The sequence below is a fragment of the Homo sapiens genome, chromosome 2 (assembly GCF_000001405.40).
Source record: "Homo sapiens chromosome 2, GRCh38.p14 Primary Assembly".
NCBI lineage: Eukaryota > Metazoa > Chordata > Mammalia > Primates > Hominidae > Homo > Homo sapiens.
Window position 1 is genome coordinate 144,899,240 of NC_000002.12, and position 18,206 is coordinate 144,917,445.

Sequence of the window (18,206 nt, forward strand, 5' to 3'; positions counted from 1 at the left end):
TCTTCCATTTGTTTGTATCCTCTTTTATTTCCTTGAGCAGTGGTTTGTAGTTCTCCTTGAAGAGGTCCTTCACATCCCTTGTAAGTTGGATTCCTAGGTATTTTATTCTTTTTGAAGCAATTGTGAATGGGAGTTCACTCATGATTTGGCTCTCTGTTTGTCTGTTGTTGGTGTATAAGAATGCTTGTGATTTTTGTACATTGATTTTGTATCCTGAGACTTTGCTGAAGTTGCTTATCAGCTTAAGGAGATTTTGGGCTGAGACAGTGGGGTTTTCTAGATATACAATCATGTCGTCTGCAAACAGGGACAATTTGACTTCCTCTTTTCCTAATTGAATACCCTTTATTTCCTTCTCCTGCCTAATTGCCCTGGCCAGAACTTCCAACACTATGTTGAATAGGAGTGGTGAGAGAGGGCATCCCTGTCTTGTGCCAGTTTTCAAAGGGAATGCTTCCAGTTTTTGCCCGTTTAGTATGATATTGGCTGTGGGTTTGTCATAGATAGCCCTTATTATTTTGAAATATGTCCCATCAATACCTAATTTATTGAGAGTTTTTAGCATGAAGGGTTGTTGAATTTTGTCAAAGGCTTTTTCTGCATCTATTGAGATAATCATGTGGTTTTTGTCTTTGGCTCTGTTTATATGCTGGATTACATTTATTGATTTGCGTATTATTGAACCAGCCTTGCATCCCAGGGATGAAGCCCACTTGATCATGGTGGATAAGCTTTTTGATGTGCTGCTGGATTCGTTTTGCCAGTATTTTATTGAGGATTTTTGCATCAATGTTCATCAAGGATATTGGTCTAAAATTCTCTTTTTTTGTTGTGTCTCTGCCTAGCTTTGGTATCAGAATGATGCTGGCCTCATAAAATGAGTTAGGGAGGATTCCCTCTTTTTCTATTGACCGGAATAGTTTCAGAAGGAATGGTACCAGTTCCTCCTTGTACCTCTGGTAGAATTCAGCTGTGAATCCATCTGGTCCTGGACTCTTTTTGGTTGGTAAGCTATTGAGTATTGCCACAATTTCAGCTCCTGTTATTGGTCTATTCAGAGATTCAACTTCTTCCTGGTTTAGTCTTGGGAGAGTGTATGTGTCGAGGAATTTATCCATTTCTTCTAGATTTTCTAGTTTATTTGCATAGAGGTGTTTGTAGTATTTATTCTCTGATGGTAATTTGTATTTCTGTGGGATCGGTGGAGATATCCCCTTTATCAGTTTTTATTGCGTCTATTAGATTCTTCTCTCTTTTTTTCTTTATTAGTCTTGCTAGCAGTCTATCAATTTTGTTGATCCTTTCAAAAAACCAGCTCCTGGATTCATTAATTTTTTGAAGGGTTTTTTGTGTCTCTATTTCCTTCAGTTCTGCTCTGATTTTAGTTATTTCTTGCCTTCTGCTAGCTTTTGAATGTGTTTGCTCTTGCCTTTCTAGTTCTTTTAATTGTGATGTTAGGGTGTCAATTTTGTATCTTTCCTGCTTTCTCTTGTGGGCATTTAGTGCTATAAATTTCCCTCTACACTGCTTTGAATGCGTCCCAGAGATTCTGGTATGTTGTGTCTTTGTTCTCATTGGTTTCAAAGAACATCTTTATTTCTGCCTTCATTTCGTTATGTACCCAGTAGTCATTCAGGAGCAGGTTGTTCAGTTTCCATTTGGTTGAGCGGTTTTGAGTGAGATTCTTAATCCTGAGTTCTAGTTTGATTGCACTGTGGTCTGAGAGATAGTTTGTTATAATTTCTGTTCTTTTACATTTGCTGAGGAGAGCTTTACTTCCAAATATGTGGTCGATTTTGGAATAGGTTTGGTGCTAAAAAAAAATGTATATTCTGTTGATTTGGGGTGGAGAGTTCTGTAGATGTCTATTAGGTCTGCTTGGTGCAGAGCTGAGTTCAATTCCTGGGTATCCTTGTTAACTTTCTGTCTCGTTGATCTGTCTAATGTTGACAGTGGGGTGTTAAAGTCTCTCATTATTAATGTGTGGGAGTCTAAGTCTCTTTGCAGGTCACTCAGGACTTGCTTTATGAATCTTGATGCTCCTGTATTGGGTGCATATATATTTAGGTTAGTTAGCTCTTCTTGTTGAACTGATCCCTTTACCATTATGTAATGGCCTTCTTTGTCTCTTTTGATCTTTGTTGGTTTAAAGTCTGTTTTATCAGAGACTAGTATTGCAACCCCTGCCTTTTTTTATTTTCCATTTGCTTGGTAGATCTTCCTCCATCCTTTTATTTTGAGCCTATGTGTGTCTCTGCACGTGAGATGGGTTTCCTGAATACAGCACACTGATGGGTCTTGACTCTTTATCCAATTTGCCAGTCTGTGTCTTTTAATTGGAGCATTTAGTCCATTTACATTTAATATTGTTATGTGTGAATTTGATCCTGTCATTATGATGTTAGCTGGTTATTTTGCTCGTTAGTTGATGCAGTTTCTTACTAGTCTTGATGGTCTTTACATTTTGGCATGATTTTGCAGCGGCTGGTACCGGTTGTTCCTTTCCATGTTTAGTGCTTCCTTCAGGAGCTCTTTTAGGGCAGGCCTGGTGGTGACAAAATCTCTCAGCATATGCTTGTCTGTAAAGTATTTTATTTCTCCTTCGCTTATGAAGCTTAGTTTGGCTGGATATGAAATTCTGGGTTGAAAATTCTTGTCTTAAGAATGTTGAATATTGGCCCCCACTCTCTTCTGGCTTGTGGGGTTTCTGCCGAGAGATCCGCTGTTAGTCTGATGGGCTTCCCTTTGAGGGTAACCCGACCTTTCTCTCTGGCTGCCCTTAACATTTTTTCCTTCATTTCAACTTTGGTGAATCTGACAATTATGTGTCTTGGAGTTGCTCTTCTCGAGGAGTATCTTTGTGGCGTTCTCTATATTTACTGAATCTGAACGTTGGCCTGCCTTGCTAGATTGGGGAAGTTCTCCTGGATAATATTCTGCAGAGTGTTTTCCAACTTGGTTCCATTCTCCCCATCACTTTCAGGTACACCAATCAGACGTAGATTTGGTCTTTTCACATAGTCCCATATTTCTTGGAGGTGTAGCTCATTTCTTTTTATTCTTTTTTCTCTAAACTTCCCTTCTCGCTTCATTTCATTCATTTCATCTTCCATTGCTGATACCCTTTCTTCCAGTTGATCGCATCGGCTCCTGAGGCTTCTGCATTCTTCACGTAGTTCTTGAGCTTTGGTTTTCAGCTCCGTCAGCTCCTTTAAGCACTTCTCTGTATTGGTTATTCTAGTTATACATTCTTCTAAAATTTTTTCAAAGTTTTCAACTTCTTTGCCTTTGGTTTGAATGTCCTCCCGTAGCTCAGAGTAATTTGATCGTCTGAAGCCTTCTCTCAGCTCGTCAAAGTCATTCTCCATCCAGCTTTGTTCCGTTGCTGGTGAGGAACTGCGTTCCTTTGGAGGAGGAGAGGTGCTCTGCTTTTTAGAGTTTTCAGTTTTTCTGTTCTGTTTTTTCCCCATCTTTGTGGTTTTATCTACTTTTGGTCTTTGATGATGGTGATGTACAGATGGGTTTTATGTGTGGATGTCCTTTCTGTTTGTTAGTTTTCCTTCTAACAGACAGGACCCTCAGCTGCAGGTCTGTTGTAGTACTGGGCCCTGTGAGTTGTCAGTCTGCCCCTGCTGGGGGGTGCCTCCCAGTTAGGCTGCTCGGGGGTCAGGGGTCAGGGACCCACTTGAGGAGGCAGTCTGCTGGTTCTCAGATCTCCAGCTGTGTGCTGAGAGAACCACTGCTCTCTTCAAAGCTGTCAGACAGGGACATTTAAGTCTGCAGAGGTTACTGCTGTCTTTTTTTTGTCTGTGCCCTGCCCCCAGAGGTGGAGCCTACAGAGGCAGGCAGGCCTCCTTGAGCTGAGGTGGGCTCCACCCAGTTCGAGCTTCCCGGCTGCTTTGTTTACCTAAGCAAGCCTGGGCAATGGCGGGCGCCCCTCCCCCAGCCTCGCTGCAGCCTTGCAGTTTGATCACAGACTGCTGTGCTAGCAATTAGTGAGACTCCGTGGGCGTAGGACCCTCTGAGCCAGGTGTGGGATATAATCTCGTGGTGCCGTTTTTTAAGCTCGTCGGAAAAGCGCAGTATTCGGTTGGGAGTGGTCCGATTTTCCAGGTGCCATCCGTCACCCCTTTCTTTGACTCGGAAAGGGAACTCCCTGACCCCTTGCGCTTCCCAAGTGAGGCAATGCCTCGCCCTGCTTCGGCTCGTGCACGGTGCGCGCACCCACTGACCTGCGCCCACTGTCTGGCACTCCCTAGTGAGATGAACCCGGTACCTCAGATGGAAATGCAGAAATCACCGTCTTCTGCGTCGCTCACGCTGGGAGCTGTAGACCGGAGCTGTTCCTATTCGGCCATCTTGGCCAATTTTCTACTCTTTGGATCATACCGATTTTAATGCAGCCTCATCTACTTACTCATTTTAGAGACAACACCAACATTTTTGTAATGGCCTGCAAGGCCTTCCGAGATCTACCTCCTGCAACTCAGCTTCTCCTGTGCTCTCCTTCTGGACTCACTCTGCCTCAGCAACACTGGTCCCTGTTGCCCCACCAATATGCCAGGTAATCTCTATCCTGTGGTAGTGTATTTGCTTTAGTGTTTTCTCTGCCTAGAACATTCTTCTCCTGATATCCAGTTGATTGATTCCCTTATTCCCTTCCATTCTTTGATCCCTTCAATAAGGTCAACCTCATCACAGTATTAACCCTGCAACTAATCACCTCACCCTCTTCCCGGCACCCCAGATCCTCTTTTGATTGTTCAACATTTTTTTCCATATTTATTATTTATTATTACCTTCTAATGTTCTACATGGTTTACTTATTTATTATAATATTATCTGTTATTCTTTAAAGAATGTAAGGTACATGAGACAGGTATCATTGTCTATTTTATTTGCTGATATTCCCAAGTGTCCACGTTTGTGCCAGGTATAATACACTCAGTCATACTCAATAAATGGATTGAATGTGTGAAGGAATGAATACAATATAGCTGTTTTCAGTGATTGTAACAGTTTACCAATTCCCCTCATTCTAATATCTGTTCTCTGAGTATTCTCCAATGTATTGGCATTCCTGTAAAAGTAGTATCCCACAGTTTTCTTGATATAGTTGGATCAATTTGAAGTATAAAGGGGAAGGCATTGCAGTGATTTGGGGCACTATACTCAAGTGTTTCTGTCTTGAGGCAGTCATGCTGTTGACTCACCTGGAAATTGTAATTAACTAAAATTCTGAAGTACACTTTTATATGAGCTGCCCTTAAGCTTCATGCTCCCCATTCTGCACATGGGTAGTTGGTTTTATGGATATAAATGTTGGAATTTGCACTTATTCATTTTACATTAGATTTTGTTATATTTGACATAATTATTACAGGTTATTGAGATCTTCACCCTTTCATTCATTTAGACGTTGAGTAAGTATTACTTAAATGTCTACCATGCACTAGGCATGGATGTGGAATGACGAACAAGAAAACAAGTATGCTGGCAGCTCTTCTGTAACTTACAACCTTGGAGGAGGGGATAGACATTAACACATAATCACAACACACATTAGGAGCTGCCACAGGAGGCTCTCCCACCATAAGAACTTGTAACAGGGGACTTGATCTGTCTCTAAGAAATGACATCTGTGTTGAGAGCTGAAAGATGATTTCACTAATAAAAAGGTGAAGGCAGAAGTTTCCAACAGAGATAACAGAGTAGAGAAAGTGCTTGTGCATAAAGCGGCATGATATACATAAGTGTCTGAAAGAACACCAAGGTGTCAAAGTCAAGGACGTGTAGGGAAATGGGGTGAAGTGGGATGCAGGTAAGTAGGGGCCTGATCTCGTAGGGTCAGGAAGCTTGGGTCTCTTAGCTGCCTGATATTTAGAGGTTCTCAGATGCAAAAGAGATTTTGTCCACTCTATCAAAGAATTGTACTAATGTGGAGTGGTTGTGTTTTAGCTACCTTGGAGAACTACAATATTCCATATAAGATTTATTTCAGTTAAGATGCAATCACAGTCTTCAAGTATATGGAGCCAGGGGAATAAGAATATGGAGGTTGAGGAAAGTTCGGTAATAAACAGTTCTTCTTTATCACCTCTGAGGATAGCACAGTTGGGAGTAGTTTTAAAATACAGCACAAAGTTGTGTAGAGCCTGGAGGCAGCACATGGATTCCTTGCTGTCTTGGCTTAGATTTATAGGGTCAGGGAGAAGACTTGTTATAAACCTTCTTCTATTTAGAATTGGTTTATCAAATGTATACGATAAATCTTTGTAAATTCAGAGTTCTAGCATCTTTTAAAAAAAATCTCATCCTGAACATAAAGGGCAAATATAAAAATTGTTAAACAAATGACAAAATACTAACTAGATATTCGTTTAATGCAAACTGAATGTCCTTCTTTAATATCTCAGAGTACAAAGCTGGCAATAATTTCCTTATTTCAGCGCATCACTCCACCCGCACATTTGCTTATTAGCAGGAAGTCTACTACAGGGAGAAGTCTCCTCCTTACTCTAGAATTGTTCTGAGACTCCAGAAGCTTGGCTAATATGAACGTAGTGTAGGTAGGTGTCCTGCTTTCCAGAGTTTGTTGTTCAGAGAGCTGGAAATTCTAAGGCTTTTCCCTGCTATTTCTTGAGCCCCCTGTTTGTCCGAGCCCTGCACAGCTCACAGAGGGGCTGAATGCTGGGATTCAGAGCTATAGCTATCTTACTTCACATGTGTGTATACAGCCATTGCTCCCCAAGGCAAAACTCCATATTATGGGAGCTGGAACGTGAAGAGCTTTGTTTGCTCTACACACTCTGTCAGAATCAGTTCTTCCCACAATACTGGTGGTCTTCTCACAGAGATTCAAATCCAGTTGACCCAAACTTCTACATTGTTCCTGGTGACATCACTCTTGTTTACTGATGTCACTTTCTGTCTGTAAACTTTGGTCCTGGCCACCTTGTTCTCACTGCCAAATTTCTTTAGCCCTAAGCCTTTAGTAACTAGAGTCAGGGTTTTTCATTCAGAAGACCGTTGATCTCCTTCTGCCACTCACTCCACTCCTCCAGTAGACAGGGATCTACTGTCTTTAAGTCACTTGAAGAAAGCAAGTTCTTTCTTATACATTTCTCATACATTTCAGAATGAAGAGAAGCCCTTTAAATGACCTTGAAAAGCTTAAAATCCACTTCATGATGACACTGTTCTACTAACTGGAAGTGAGAATTTTTGGCTTGCTTATTTGACCAACGCAGAGGAAATAATTGCCAATCAGAAATTGGGTTGCAGGATGGCAGGATTTGTATCTGTTCCATATACTGCTATATCTTCAGAACCTAAGCATGGTATACAGAGGGTGTACATGTACTTATGGAATTAGTAACTGAATGGTTATCATTTCTGGTACAGTTGATAAGTTTATGATAGAACTGTGGGCACAAAGTGCCTCACCAAGAACAATGTGGATATGACTGTCTGAAAGTTAAAATTTAAATCTATTTTATACATATTTGGAATAGGAAATAAATGGAGATGATATGATGATAAGGCTGGGGTGTGAGACTGCGTAAAATGACTAAACTGTTTTTCAGAAGCATATTGCAATAAAAATTTTACCTTTATAAATTACTTAATTCTGTAATAATGTCATGTTAGTAAGGAAATAAAGTTTTCATGTTAACATGAAGCAAATAGTTTTTTCCTCCATTCTTCATACCCATGCAAACATTCTTATTACACAAACACGCCACTCCTATTACATGTCTTTCATATTAAAATATATTCTTAAATTAAATTAGATTAAAATTAATAATAAAAAGTAAAATTTGATAAAACCACACCCCGAATGTTACTATTTATCCTTTTATGAAAAATAAAGCAGGAATATTCAGGATAACCACTTATGTACTCCATAGGTTTTATATATGTGATTTTATTACACAAAGTGTATGACTTATTAGGTAATTTGTATCCTAACCTCCAAAGAAGGCATTCTGGTTTCTTGGCTACATAAGGGAGGATTAAAAAACAAAAAACAAAAAAACAAAAAAACAAAAAACAAAAAAAAAACCCTTCCTAATCATGTAATTATCTATCAAACCAACATGTTGGGAACTTAATATAAACCACTAAGGTTTCTCATTTAAATGATTGCATCCTCCAATATTACATTCTAATACCTTTGTTTCCTTCAGTTGAAAGCCATATTTACTTATGTAATAAAGGGGAAAGGTACAAACATGTAAATTCACTTATGTCTGTCACCTAAACTTAAATTCCATCATGTAATTAACTTAGGAAAAGATTGAATGAGATGACACTGTTTTTTGTTTGTTTGTTTGTTTGTTTGGAGACGGAGTCTTGCACTGTCTCCCAGTCTGGAGTACAGTGGCACCATCTCAGCTCACTGCAAGCTCCGCCTCCCGGGTTCACGCCATTCTCCTGCCTCAGCCTCCAGAGTAGCTGGGAGCCTGCCACCATGCCTGGCTAATTTTTGTATTTTTAGTAGAGACAAGGTTTCACCGTGTTGGTCAGGATGGTCTCAATCTCCTGACTTTGTGATCTGCCTGCCTCAGCCTCCCAAAGTGCTGGGATTACAGGCATCAGCCACCATGCCCGGCCGAGATGACACTGTTTTAAAATTCGATATACATCTGACATTCCTTTGTCTCAGATCATTCATTCTTTATTTTCTTCCTGAAGTAATATCTAATGTCTACATTAACTTTGAATTTCTTGTTTTGTAGTCTCATTAAAAGAATCTGCTCTTAAATTAATTTTTATTTACATAATTTAAAGTCACTTTTTTTCAAAGAACAATTCTTGTTCTAATTCCCAGTTAAAATGTCTGGTTTTCTCTTGTTTGAACGACAACTTTAACTTCAGTTCTGCATAATTTCTAGGAGTTTCTTCTCATCTAAGTGATTCCCAAGTATGAACTGTGATGTTTCTTAGTAGGAAAAGAATTACAATTATGATGTTTTTCTTAGGAAATTTATAGTGTAGAAACACCATAATCACAAGTTAGGATTATCTTGAAATGAAATTCTGAAAATATAATACCATTTGATCCAGAACAGCAGAGGAAATTAAAAATTATATTAGCCCATATGCAGTTTTTACTTGCAGGCATTTGGGAAAAAAGTGTTCTAGATCAAGTAAGATACTTCTTAAAAAGCTACCTGAAAGCCAAGAAAATAAGGTAGCATTGGCCTGGCGTGGTGGCTCATGCCTGTAATTCCAGCACTTTCGGAGGCCGAGGTGGGCGGATCACCTGAGGTCAGGAGACCAGCCTGGCCAACATGATGAAACCCTGTCTCTACTAAAAATACAAAAATTAGCTGGGCATGGTGTTGGGCGCCTGTAATCCCAGCTATTCTGGAGGTTGAGGCAGGAGAATCACTTGAATCTGGAAGGCGGAGGTAGCAGTGAGTCAAGATCGCACCATCGCATTCCAGCCTCGGCGACAGAACGACTCCGTCTCAAAAAAAAAAAAAAAAAAAAAAAAAAAAGAAAAGAAAAGAAGGTAGCATTTTTTTTAAATACCCAAAAGTTATTTATTTTTTGTTATAGATAGACAAGTTATAATTGTATAAAGTTATGGGGTAAAAAGTGATGTTATAATTTGTGTACATAATACGAAATAATTACATAAAGCTCATTAACGTTATCTATCACTTCAAATACTTAACTTTTTTGAGGGGGAAACATTTGAAATTTGCTCTTTCCAATTTTGAAATGTATAATCCTCTATTATTGACTGTATTCATCATACTGTGTAATAAAACTAAAACCCATATTACTCCTAAGATTTTGTAACTTTGGACCATTATCTCTTCATTCCCCCACTTTCCAGTCTTTGTAACCGTCATTCTACTCTCTGCTCCTATGAGTTTGATTGTTCTCATTTCCGCAGATAAGACAGAATATGCAATATTTGTCTTTCTGTGCCTGACTTATTTTAGCATAATGTTCTCCAGTTCCATCTATGTTGTCGCAAATGACAGAATTTCTTTCTTTTTAAAGGCTGAATAGTATTCCATTGTGTGCATATACTGTATCTGTCAGAATGGCTTTTATCAAAAAGACAAAAGGTGACAAGTGTTGGCAAGATGTGGAGAAAAGGAAGCCATTGTACACTATTGGTAGGAATGTAAATTAGTGCAGCCATATGCAGAATACTATGAAGGCTTCTCAAAAAACTAAAAATAGAACTACCATATGATCCGGAAATCTCACTTCTGGGGATGTACCCAAAAATCTTGAAATTTGTTTGTCAGAGAGCTATCTGCACCCCCATATTTATTGCAGCAGTTTTCACAATAGCCACATTATAAAATCAACCTGTGTACATCAACAGATAAATGGATAAAGAATGTTCTTTAGAAATATTTATGGACAACTTTCTTGATTGCATATACATGGTTCATCAAAGTAACCAATCTATTTGGCTTACTAAGTGCCATTTAGCACAGTAGCCAGTATGGCGTTTCTCTTGTCTAAAGATGATCAGAACCACCATGATTGGTTGAAAATATTGGCTAAATTTTGACTCAGAGGAAATCAGAATATTTAAATCTCAAGCGACTTTCTCAATTTTTACTTTGGAACAGTAATTAGACACTCAAATTCCAGCCATTGCCTGAGTTATCTTTTAAGGATAATTTGCTTAATCTGCTCAAATTGTGAGCATTTTGGTAGCAGGTTTTGCGCATTGTATATCTTTGGATCCCTTAATAGCAGTACATACTGTGGTTAAGAACATCTGTATTAAAGCAGATGAAAATAGACTTAACTCCTGACCTTGTCTCTTACTAGCTTTGGGACTGTGGGCAAGTTCGTCAACCTCTCTAAGCCTCTAAAATGGAAATACTAGCAGTGTGCGGTTGTAGGTAGGATTAAATGAGATAATAAACTTATGAAAGTGCCTGGCATATTGTAAGTAGCAGATGTTATTAGTAAAAAAAATTATGTATTGATATAATAATTATTGTTTTCTACTTAATAGAATACCATGTTTTGCTGGCACTCTATAAATGTTTGAATGGTTGGTTATGATGCTTACTCAGGCAAATACAAGATTTGGAATGTAAAGTGAGAAAGGAACCATAGTCATCACTACACTAAATTATTTTATTCCTATATCCTGGAAATAAGAGATACTAGCAGGATATTATATAAATAGTATATAGATATGGCTGAACCATTCAGTTCTTGTCCTATTCCCATTTTGAAGGAGGCTTCAGCCCATCACTGCATCCATCCCAAACTAAGTTATATTCTACAGTGCTTTGGGATGAAATATGGAATTTTACTGATGATTTCATGGTGGGTGGGGGGGTTGGAAAGATGATTTTTATCTGACAGCATCAGGCAGCGTGTGAAAAAAAATGCACAGTAGACATGTATGTTCTTCCCAGAAAGATAGCTTCCCTGTCTCCTTTCAGCATTGAACCTCCGTTTCTCTCAAATCTCCTTTCTCGTGAGAAATTCATCTCTTTCTTCAAGTTTGCTTGCCTGCCACCCACAAAGCCTGCAATGAAAAGAACCTACCCGCCTTAGAAAGCAGTTTATAGATTATCTGTTGCTTTTCCAAATATGCCCCCTTGTGGGTCTCACAATTCTCTTATGGACGCCTCATCCCAATTAGCTCAGCAAAGTATTCCCTCCACTAAGATTGGGCTCTTCTTGTAAGGAGATTCTGATATTAAGAAAATTGAAATTTCCTCCACGTCATTACCTATTCAGGATATTAAGTCTGAAAATATTTAATTCATTTCAATTTATCTAATATTTATTGAGCACTTACTCTGTAACAAGCACTGGGTAGGTGAAGTGGGAGGACAGGAAGAGGACCAACGTCTGTGTCCTTCTGTCTGAGGAGAGACAGACACATGACTAAGTAGTAACACCGACAAAGGGTAGATTTCACTAACTACATTAACAGAACTTTGGGCTGATATGTGGATGCAGAAGACAGAGAAATGAATTTTAACTGGGTGGTACCACAGTAATTCTGATGGAAATTTTATCTCCATCTTTACAAGATGGATCAAATTTTGATTGGTGAATATTAGAATAAAAGTTTATTAAAATAACTAATAACGAGAGTGCTATTTAAGAAAAGGCAAGGTGTGGGTAAGGAGTTGTGTCAGAGGAACTGCAGGGGTATTGGCTTGTGGCTGGTAGACTGGAGAAATGAGAGAGGGTAAAATGGGAAAGTAGATCTGGAAAAAACTTGAGATGAACTCATGGAAGCTTGAGGAAACTGAGTCCTTAAGAGAAGTCATGAAAAGTTTTTGAACAGGGACTGCTTTATAGCAAATGGTTGGGGAAGAATCTAGGGTCAAAAATTCAGCTTAATAATATAATAATCACTTTTTGGCTGAATAATTACTGTGTTATTTAAACTTTTTTTGTAGATTTTGGGGGTACAAGTACCATTTTATTGCTTGGATATATCACGTAGTGGTGAAGTCTGGACTTTTCATGTACCCATTGCCCAAACAGTCAATGTCTTACCTAATGGATACTTTTTCAACCCTCACTCCCCTTCTACCCTCCCACCTTTTGGAGTCTCCAGTGTCTATTCATCCACTCTGTATGCCCATGTGTTCCCATTGTTTCTAAGTGAGAATATGCAGTACTTGACTTTCTGTTTTTGAGTTATTTCACTTAGGATAATGGCCTTTAGTTCCATCCACTGCTGCAAAAAACATGATTTCATTTTTTTAAATGAGTAGTATTTATGTGTGTGTGTGTGTGTTATATGCATGTGATATATATGTATATATAACACATTTTTAATCCAATCATCTGTTTATGGACACTTAGGTTGATTCCATGACTTTGCTACTGTGAATAGTGCTGCAATAATCATACAGGTACAGATGTCTTTTTCATATAGTGATTTCTTTTCCTTTGGGTACATACCCAGTAGTTGGACTGCTGGGTCACATGGTAGCTCTACTTTTAGTTCTTTGAGAAACCTCCATACTGTTTTCCATAGAGGTTGTACAAATTACATTTCCATCAATGGTGTATACGTGTTTCCTTTTCTCCACATCCTCTCCAACATCTGTTGGTTTTGGACTTTTTTAGTAGTAGCCAATGAGATAGTATCTCATTGTGGTTTTATTTGCATTTCTCTAATGCTTGGTGATGTTAAGCATTTTTTTCATGTTTCTTGATCACTTGTGTGTGTTCTTTTGAAAAATGTCTGTTCATGTCCTTTGTCCACTTTTTAATAAGGTTATTTGTCTTTTTTTCTTGTTGAGTTTCTTGTAGATTCCAGATATTAGCCTTTTGTTCGATGCATAGTTGGCAAATATTTTCTCCCATTCTGTGGGTTGTCTGTTTACCCTGTTGATTATTTCTTTTGCTATGCAGAAGTATTTTAGTTCAAGTCCCATTTGTTAGTTTTAATTTTTGTTGCATTTGCTTTTGAGGACTTAGTTATAAACTATTTGCCTGGGCCAATGTCCAGAAGAAATTTTTCTAGGTTTTCTTCTAGGATTTTTATAGTTTCAGGTCTCAAGTTTAAATCTTTAATATACCTTGAGTTAATTTTTGTATATGGTGAGAGACATGGGTCTGGTTTTATTCTTTTGCATATGGCTGTTTAATTTTCCCAGCACCATTTATTGAATAGGTAATATTCCCCTATTTATAGGGGAATTCCCCTTTCTGCACTTTATGTTTTTGTTGACTTTGTCAAAGATCAGTGGCTTGTCAGTATGTGGCTTTATTTCTGGGTTCTCTATTCTGTTCCATTGATCTATGTATTTATTTATATACCAGTACCATGCTGTTTTGGTTACTGTAGCCTTGTAACATAATTTGAAGTCAGGAAATGTGATGCCGCCAGCTTTGTTCTTTTTGTTTAGGATTACTTTTGCTATCTGGGCTCTTTTTTGGTTCCATATAAATATAAGGACAGTTTTTTCTAATTCTGTGAAAAATGTTCTTGGTATTCTGATAGGAATTGCATCGAACCTGTAGATTGCTTTGGGCAGTATGGCCATTTAAACAATATTGATTCTTCCAATCCATGAGCATGAGATGTTTTTCCATTTGTTTGTGTCATCAGTGGTTTTTATTATCAGTGTTTTGTAGTTCTCGTTGTAGAGATCTTTCGCCTCCTTGGTTAAATATGTTTCAAGGTATTTTATTTGTAGTTTTTTTTTATGCTATTATAAATTGGATTGAGTTCCTGGTTTGGCATTATGGTGTTACTATACCATACCTATGATTTTATTTCATCTTCACAATAGCACTGTATTATTTTTTCACATTACTGAAAAGAAAAGTGAGGTGTAGGAAGATAAAGTAATTTGCTCCGGAGCACATGGTAAGTGCCTGAGCTATAGTTCAAATTTGGGGCCTTCTAACTCTAATTTCTGTGTTATTAATTTTTCCCTTATTGCAAAGGAATTGCAATTAATGAGGCAGAAGTAATGTGATTCTTCATTTGGACAACTGAAATCAGAAAGGACAGGGAGAACGATTTTTAAAATAGCGTAAAAGGAAATTCGATGTTTTCACAAGATTGGCTAGATGGAAAGGGCACGAGAAAGACAGAGGTCTATGGACAGAAGGGACAAGCGGTAGAGCTACATTTCCATGTGTGCCCCAAATCAGGAGGAACATCTTGGCTAGAAATATAAACCTGGAATTCATCCTTAGGAGGGGAAGATTTAAATGATTTGAGTGAATAATGTCATAGGATGAAACTACATGAGAAGAATGCATGGAGGAAGAGAATTAACAGAAGGAGAAGGAGACAGCACCTCTTAGAGCTAGAAACAAAACCAAGTAAGATAGGCAGAGGCAAGAACACATCTAGGAAGAAATGAAAATAGAAAATATACAAAATGCTGCAAGGTGGCCAGTTCTTACTAACTGGACAACCACAGGAAAATCATTTCTTGAACCTGCTATTTCTTTTAAGTTGCTGTTAAAAAATTGTTGTTAAAGGAAAATGTTGTGAGAATGAATGTGCTAACACATGCAAAATGCTTGGCCCAATGCCAGGCATATAGTTTGTGCTCAGTAAAGTCAGCTATCAGAATGATTGCTATTATTATCATCATCATCATTATCATTGGTAAGCGTTGAAAGAGGCCCTTGGATTTGATGACTCATAGGTTTTTATTGACATTTATGTAATTAGTTACAATACTTTTGTGGGGCAGGAACAGATAACAAGAGAGTGAGAGATGTCAAAGAAGTAGGGAAAGATAACCTAAAATATTTTTCAAAAAGCTTGGCAGTACTTGGAAGGGCAGAGGGCAGTAATTCAAGAAGGATTAGTCTGGGGTTGAGTATATTTTTACTCTGAGAGGACAGGACAGAGGTGGTAGAAAGGGAGAAGGTGGGAATGACTGGCAGAGGAATAGTTTTCAAATGGATGTGCAGGAAGTGGTCCAGGAATATGCTTTCAAATGAACATGCAGGAAGTGGTTCTTTTGAAGGCCTGTCAAATTTAGCAACCTCATAATAAAATTATCTGACAATATGTGTTTTTCATGCACAGGTGGAATGAGTTACAGAGAGGATTATGGTGGGGCGTAGCCTCATTCAGTGATTCATTTGTACAACTCAATTCCCATCGTGAAAATTATTTGAGAGTAAGTTCCACAACTAAAGCTGTGACTGCAGTTTTTCCATTCTTTAAATATTAGTGATGCTGAGGCTGGATCTCAAGGAATGCAATTTAGACTCCTGATGGATCTTGCAGGAACATCACTGATTTTACTGTTAGAGAGAAAGAGTGAGTGAGAGAGAGAGAGAGAGAGAGAGAGAAGAAACATCTCATTTTTCCTTTTGTGCCAAAGGACATAAGAATGAGTAAATCTTCACAGGGTATGAGATTGCAATAAAGATGTGTGCAAATTTAGATGGAAATTAGGCATGTTCCCAGGGCTCCTGGAAAATTGCCAGCATAGTGCTCAAGACATTGCCTTTATAGACTATGTATATATTTATTTCTTTGTAAATCCAGTCTATAGAGTTTTCTGTTTATTATTGTTCCCAAGGACATTCTTTCTCCAAGCATTTCTCTCAGCAGAAACTAACTCAAAGCCAGTTTTTCAACCCTATCAAATGTAACCAGCATTTTCTGTGAAATTCTCTCTCATTGATATTACTGTTCTGCTCCTTACAATTTCTGTTGTGAAACAATCATAGTGAAAACTTATCAAAGATGCATAGGGGTGTGTGTGTGTATGAAGGACAGTCCCAAACATAGGGAATTAACAGTATTAATTATTATTTCTCATGCCCTTTAAACACACTTTGAATATATATTTGAAATATTTTCTGTTTTGTAATACAGTTTAATTCCTAAAAGTCCTCCACAGCTTGTTTTTGTAAATCATAATATGATAGTGTAAGTTGAAAAGTAGGATATCAATTGCTGAAAAAAATTAAAGCTATTAATTTGAAATAGCTGATTGGTGCAAAGTAATGTGGTTTTTACTATTATAGCAAAAACCGCATTACTTTTGCACCAACCTAATACTTAATCATGTCGATTTTTCTTATGTTTTCATTTTACTAATTTCAAAAAGCATGTGCTAAGGTAAAGAATATGAAACCATTCTGAGTTAAAGAAGTCTAACATGAATTATAGTTTCCGTGAAAGACACACATATGCTTAAATCAGTGGCTTATGTGCTTTTCTATCTTTATGCATAATTTGAAGTTTCTTTAAAGTAATGCAGTTCTGAATATAAAGATTTATTATCCAGAAAAGAAATCATTCAAAGACTCAATAGTTGTAAAATGAGAAAATATATATTGTTGGACGTATATTTAAACTCTCATAACTTTACTAAATAAATGAAGTGAAATACAGGACCCACTTAATCGATGATTTTTTTTCTTCTTTGCACTTCGATAATACTCAGAATGAAATCTGAGTGGAAATGGTACAGTTATTTACTAATTTTTATTTCGTGTTGATTTTGTTAATATTTATACTACTATTAATCTTATAGCTTTTCATAAAATAAAACAGATGTCCTTCACAAGCATTTTATTTTTATTTTTAGAATTAATCTATTAATTTTATTAATTGACACACTTTAATTGTACCTATTTATGGGGTACAGTCTGATGTTTTGATACATACATGTTGCTTAATGACCAATCAGAGTATTTAGTGTATCCATCACCCCATGCATTTACCATTTCTTGGTGGTGAGAACATTCAAAAGCCTCTCTTCTAGCAATTTTTAAATACACAATACCTTTATGTTAACCAATGTCACCTTACTGTGCAATAGAACACCAGAACTTATTCCTCCTATCTAACTTTGTACCTGTTGACCAACCTCTCCCCATCCTCCTCACCTCAACCTCTGGTAACATCTGTTCTGCTCCGCGCAAATGTTTTATATTGCTGTTTTCTGAGCTTGCAGCACACTTTTGAGAATAAAGAAAGAATCGTGGTTGAAGATTTGGAGAAAGGCCTATTTTTGATCCAGGGGATCTATTTTGGGATGGAAGTCAGACTGTTGGTTCTTCATCTGGCTCCCATGACCAGCCAAGGGCCTCAGGCAAGGCTGGGAAACCATCTCGAGGTGGGCAGAGGAATGTCTGATCCTATCCTCAATTTCAAAGGATTGCCCTCGGAACTCAGCAAGACTTGACAAAAGTAATACATACATTTCTTTTTTACTCAAATAACATTTTCTTGTGTTTTTCTAATTATGCTTTTGAAATAGTGCCATTACTTCAATTTTCTAGATATTTTTCTAGATATTTTTCTAGATATTTTTCAATTTTCTAGATATTTTTAAATGAAGATTAGGCCCACCTACACTGAAGAAAACAAACCACTTCCAGCTTCTGAGATATTAGAGCTACCTTCTTCTCTCAAGAACAAGGTTTGAGGCTTTTTAGATCCAAACTGTAATGAGCTGGATTTCTATTTCACTATTTTTTGGTACGAATTTAACCAAGCAATTTGTTAGCCATTATATGCAGTTTAAAGGCAGAGAATTCAGTAAGAGTTGTAATAATAGATATTTTAAATGGATGCCTTAGAACCTGTTCATGGTTCCCATTGTAGCACATGGAGGTACGTTGAGATGACTCCTGGTGTTAAAGTTATGTTGTTAAGAGATTTAGAAGGTGGCTGGCGACAAAATTTGGCTTAATAAAAAACCTAAAACTGAAGAAAATAGGGGTTATTGAAAAAGCAAACA

The 18,206-nt window shown here is 37.6% G+C and overlaps 1 long non-coding RNA gene across 1 annotated transcript in view; it reads left to right on the forward strand.

Moving 5' to 3' along the window:
- Positions 1 to 18,206, forward strand: part of TEX41 (testis expressed 41) — a 408,763-nt gene that overhangs the window by 231,273 nt on the left and 159,284 nt on the right. The window contains exon 3 of the long non-coding RNA NR_033870.2: positions 4,427 to 4,564. This is a non-coding gene — a long non-coding RNA (testis expressed 41). The remainder of the gene's footprint in view (positions 1 to 4,426; positions 4,565 to 18,206) is intronic.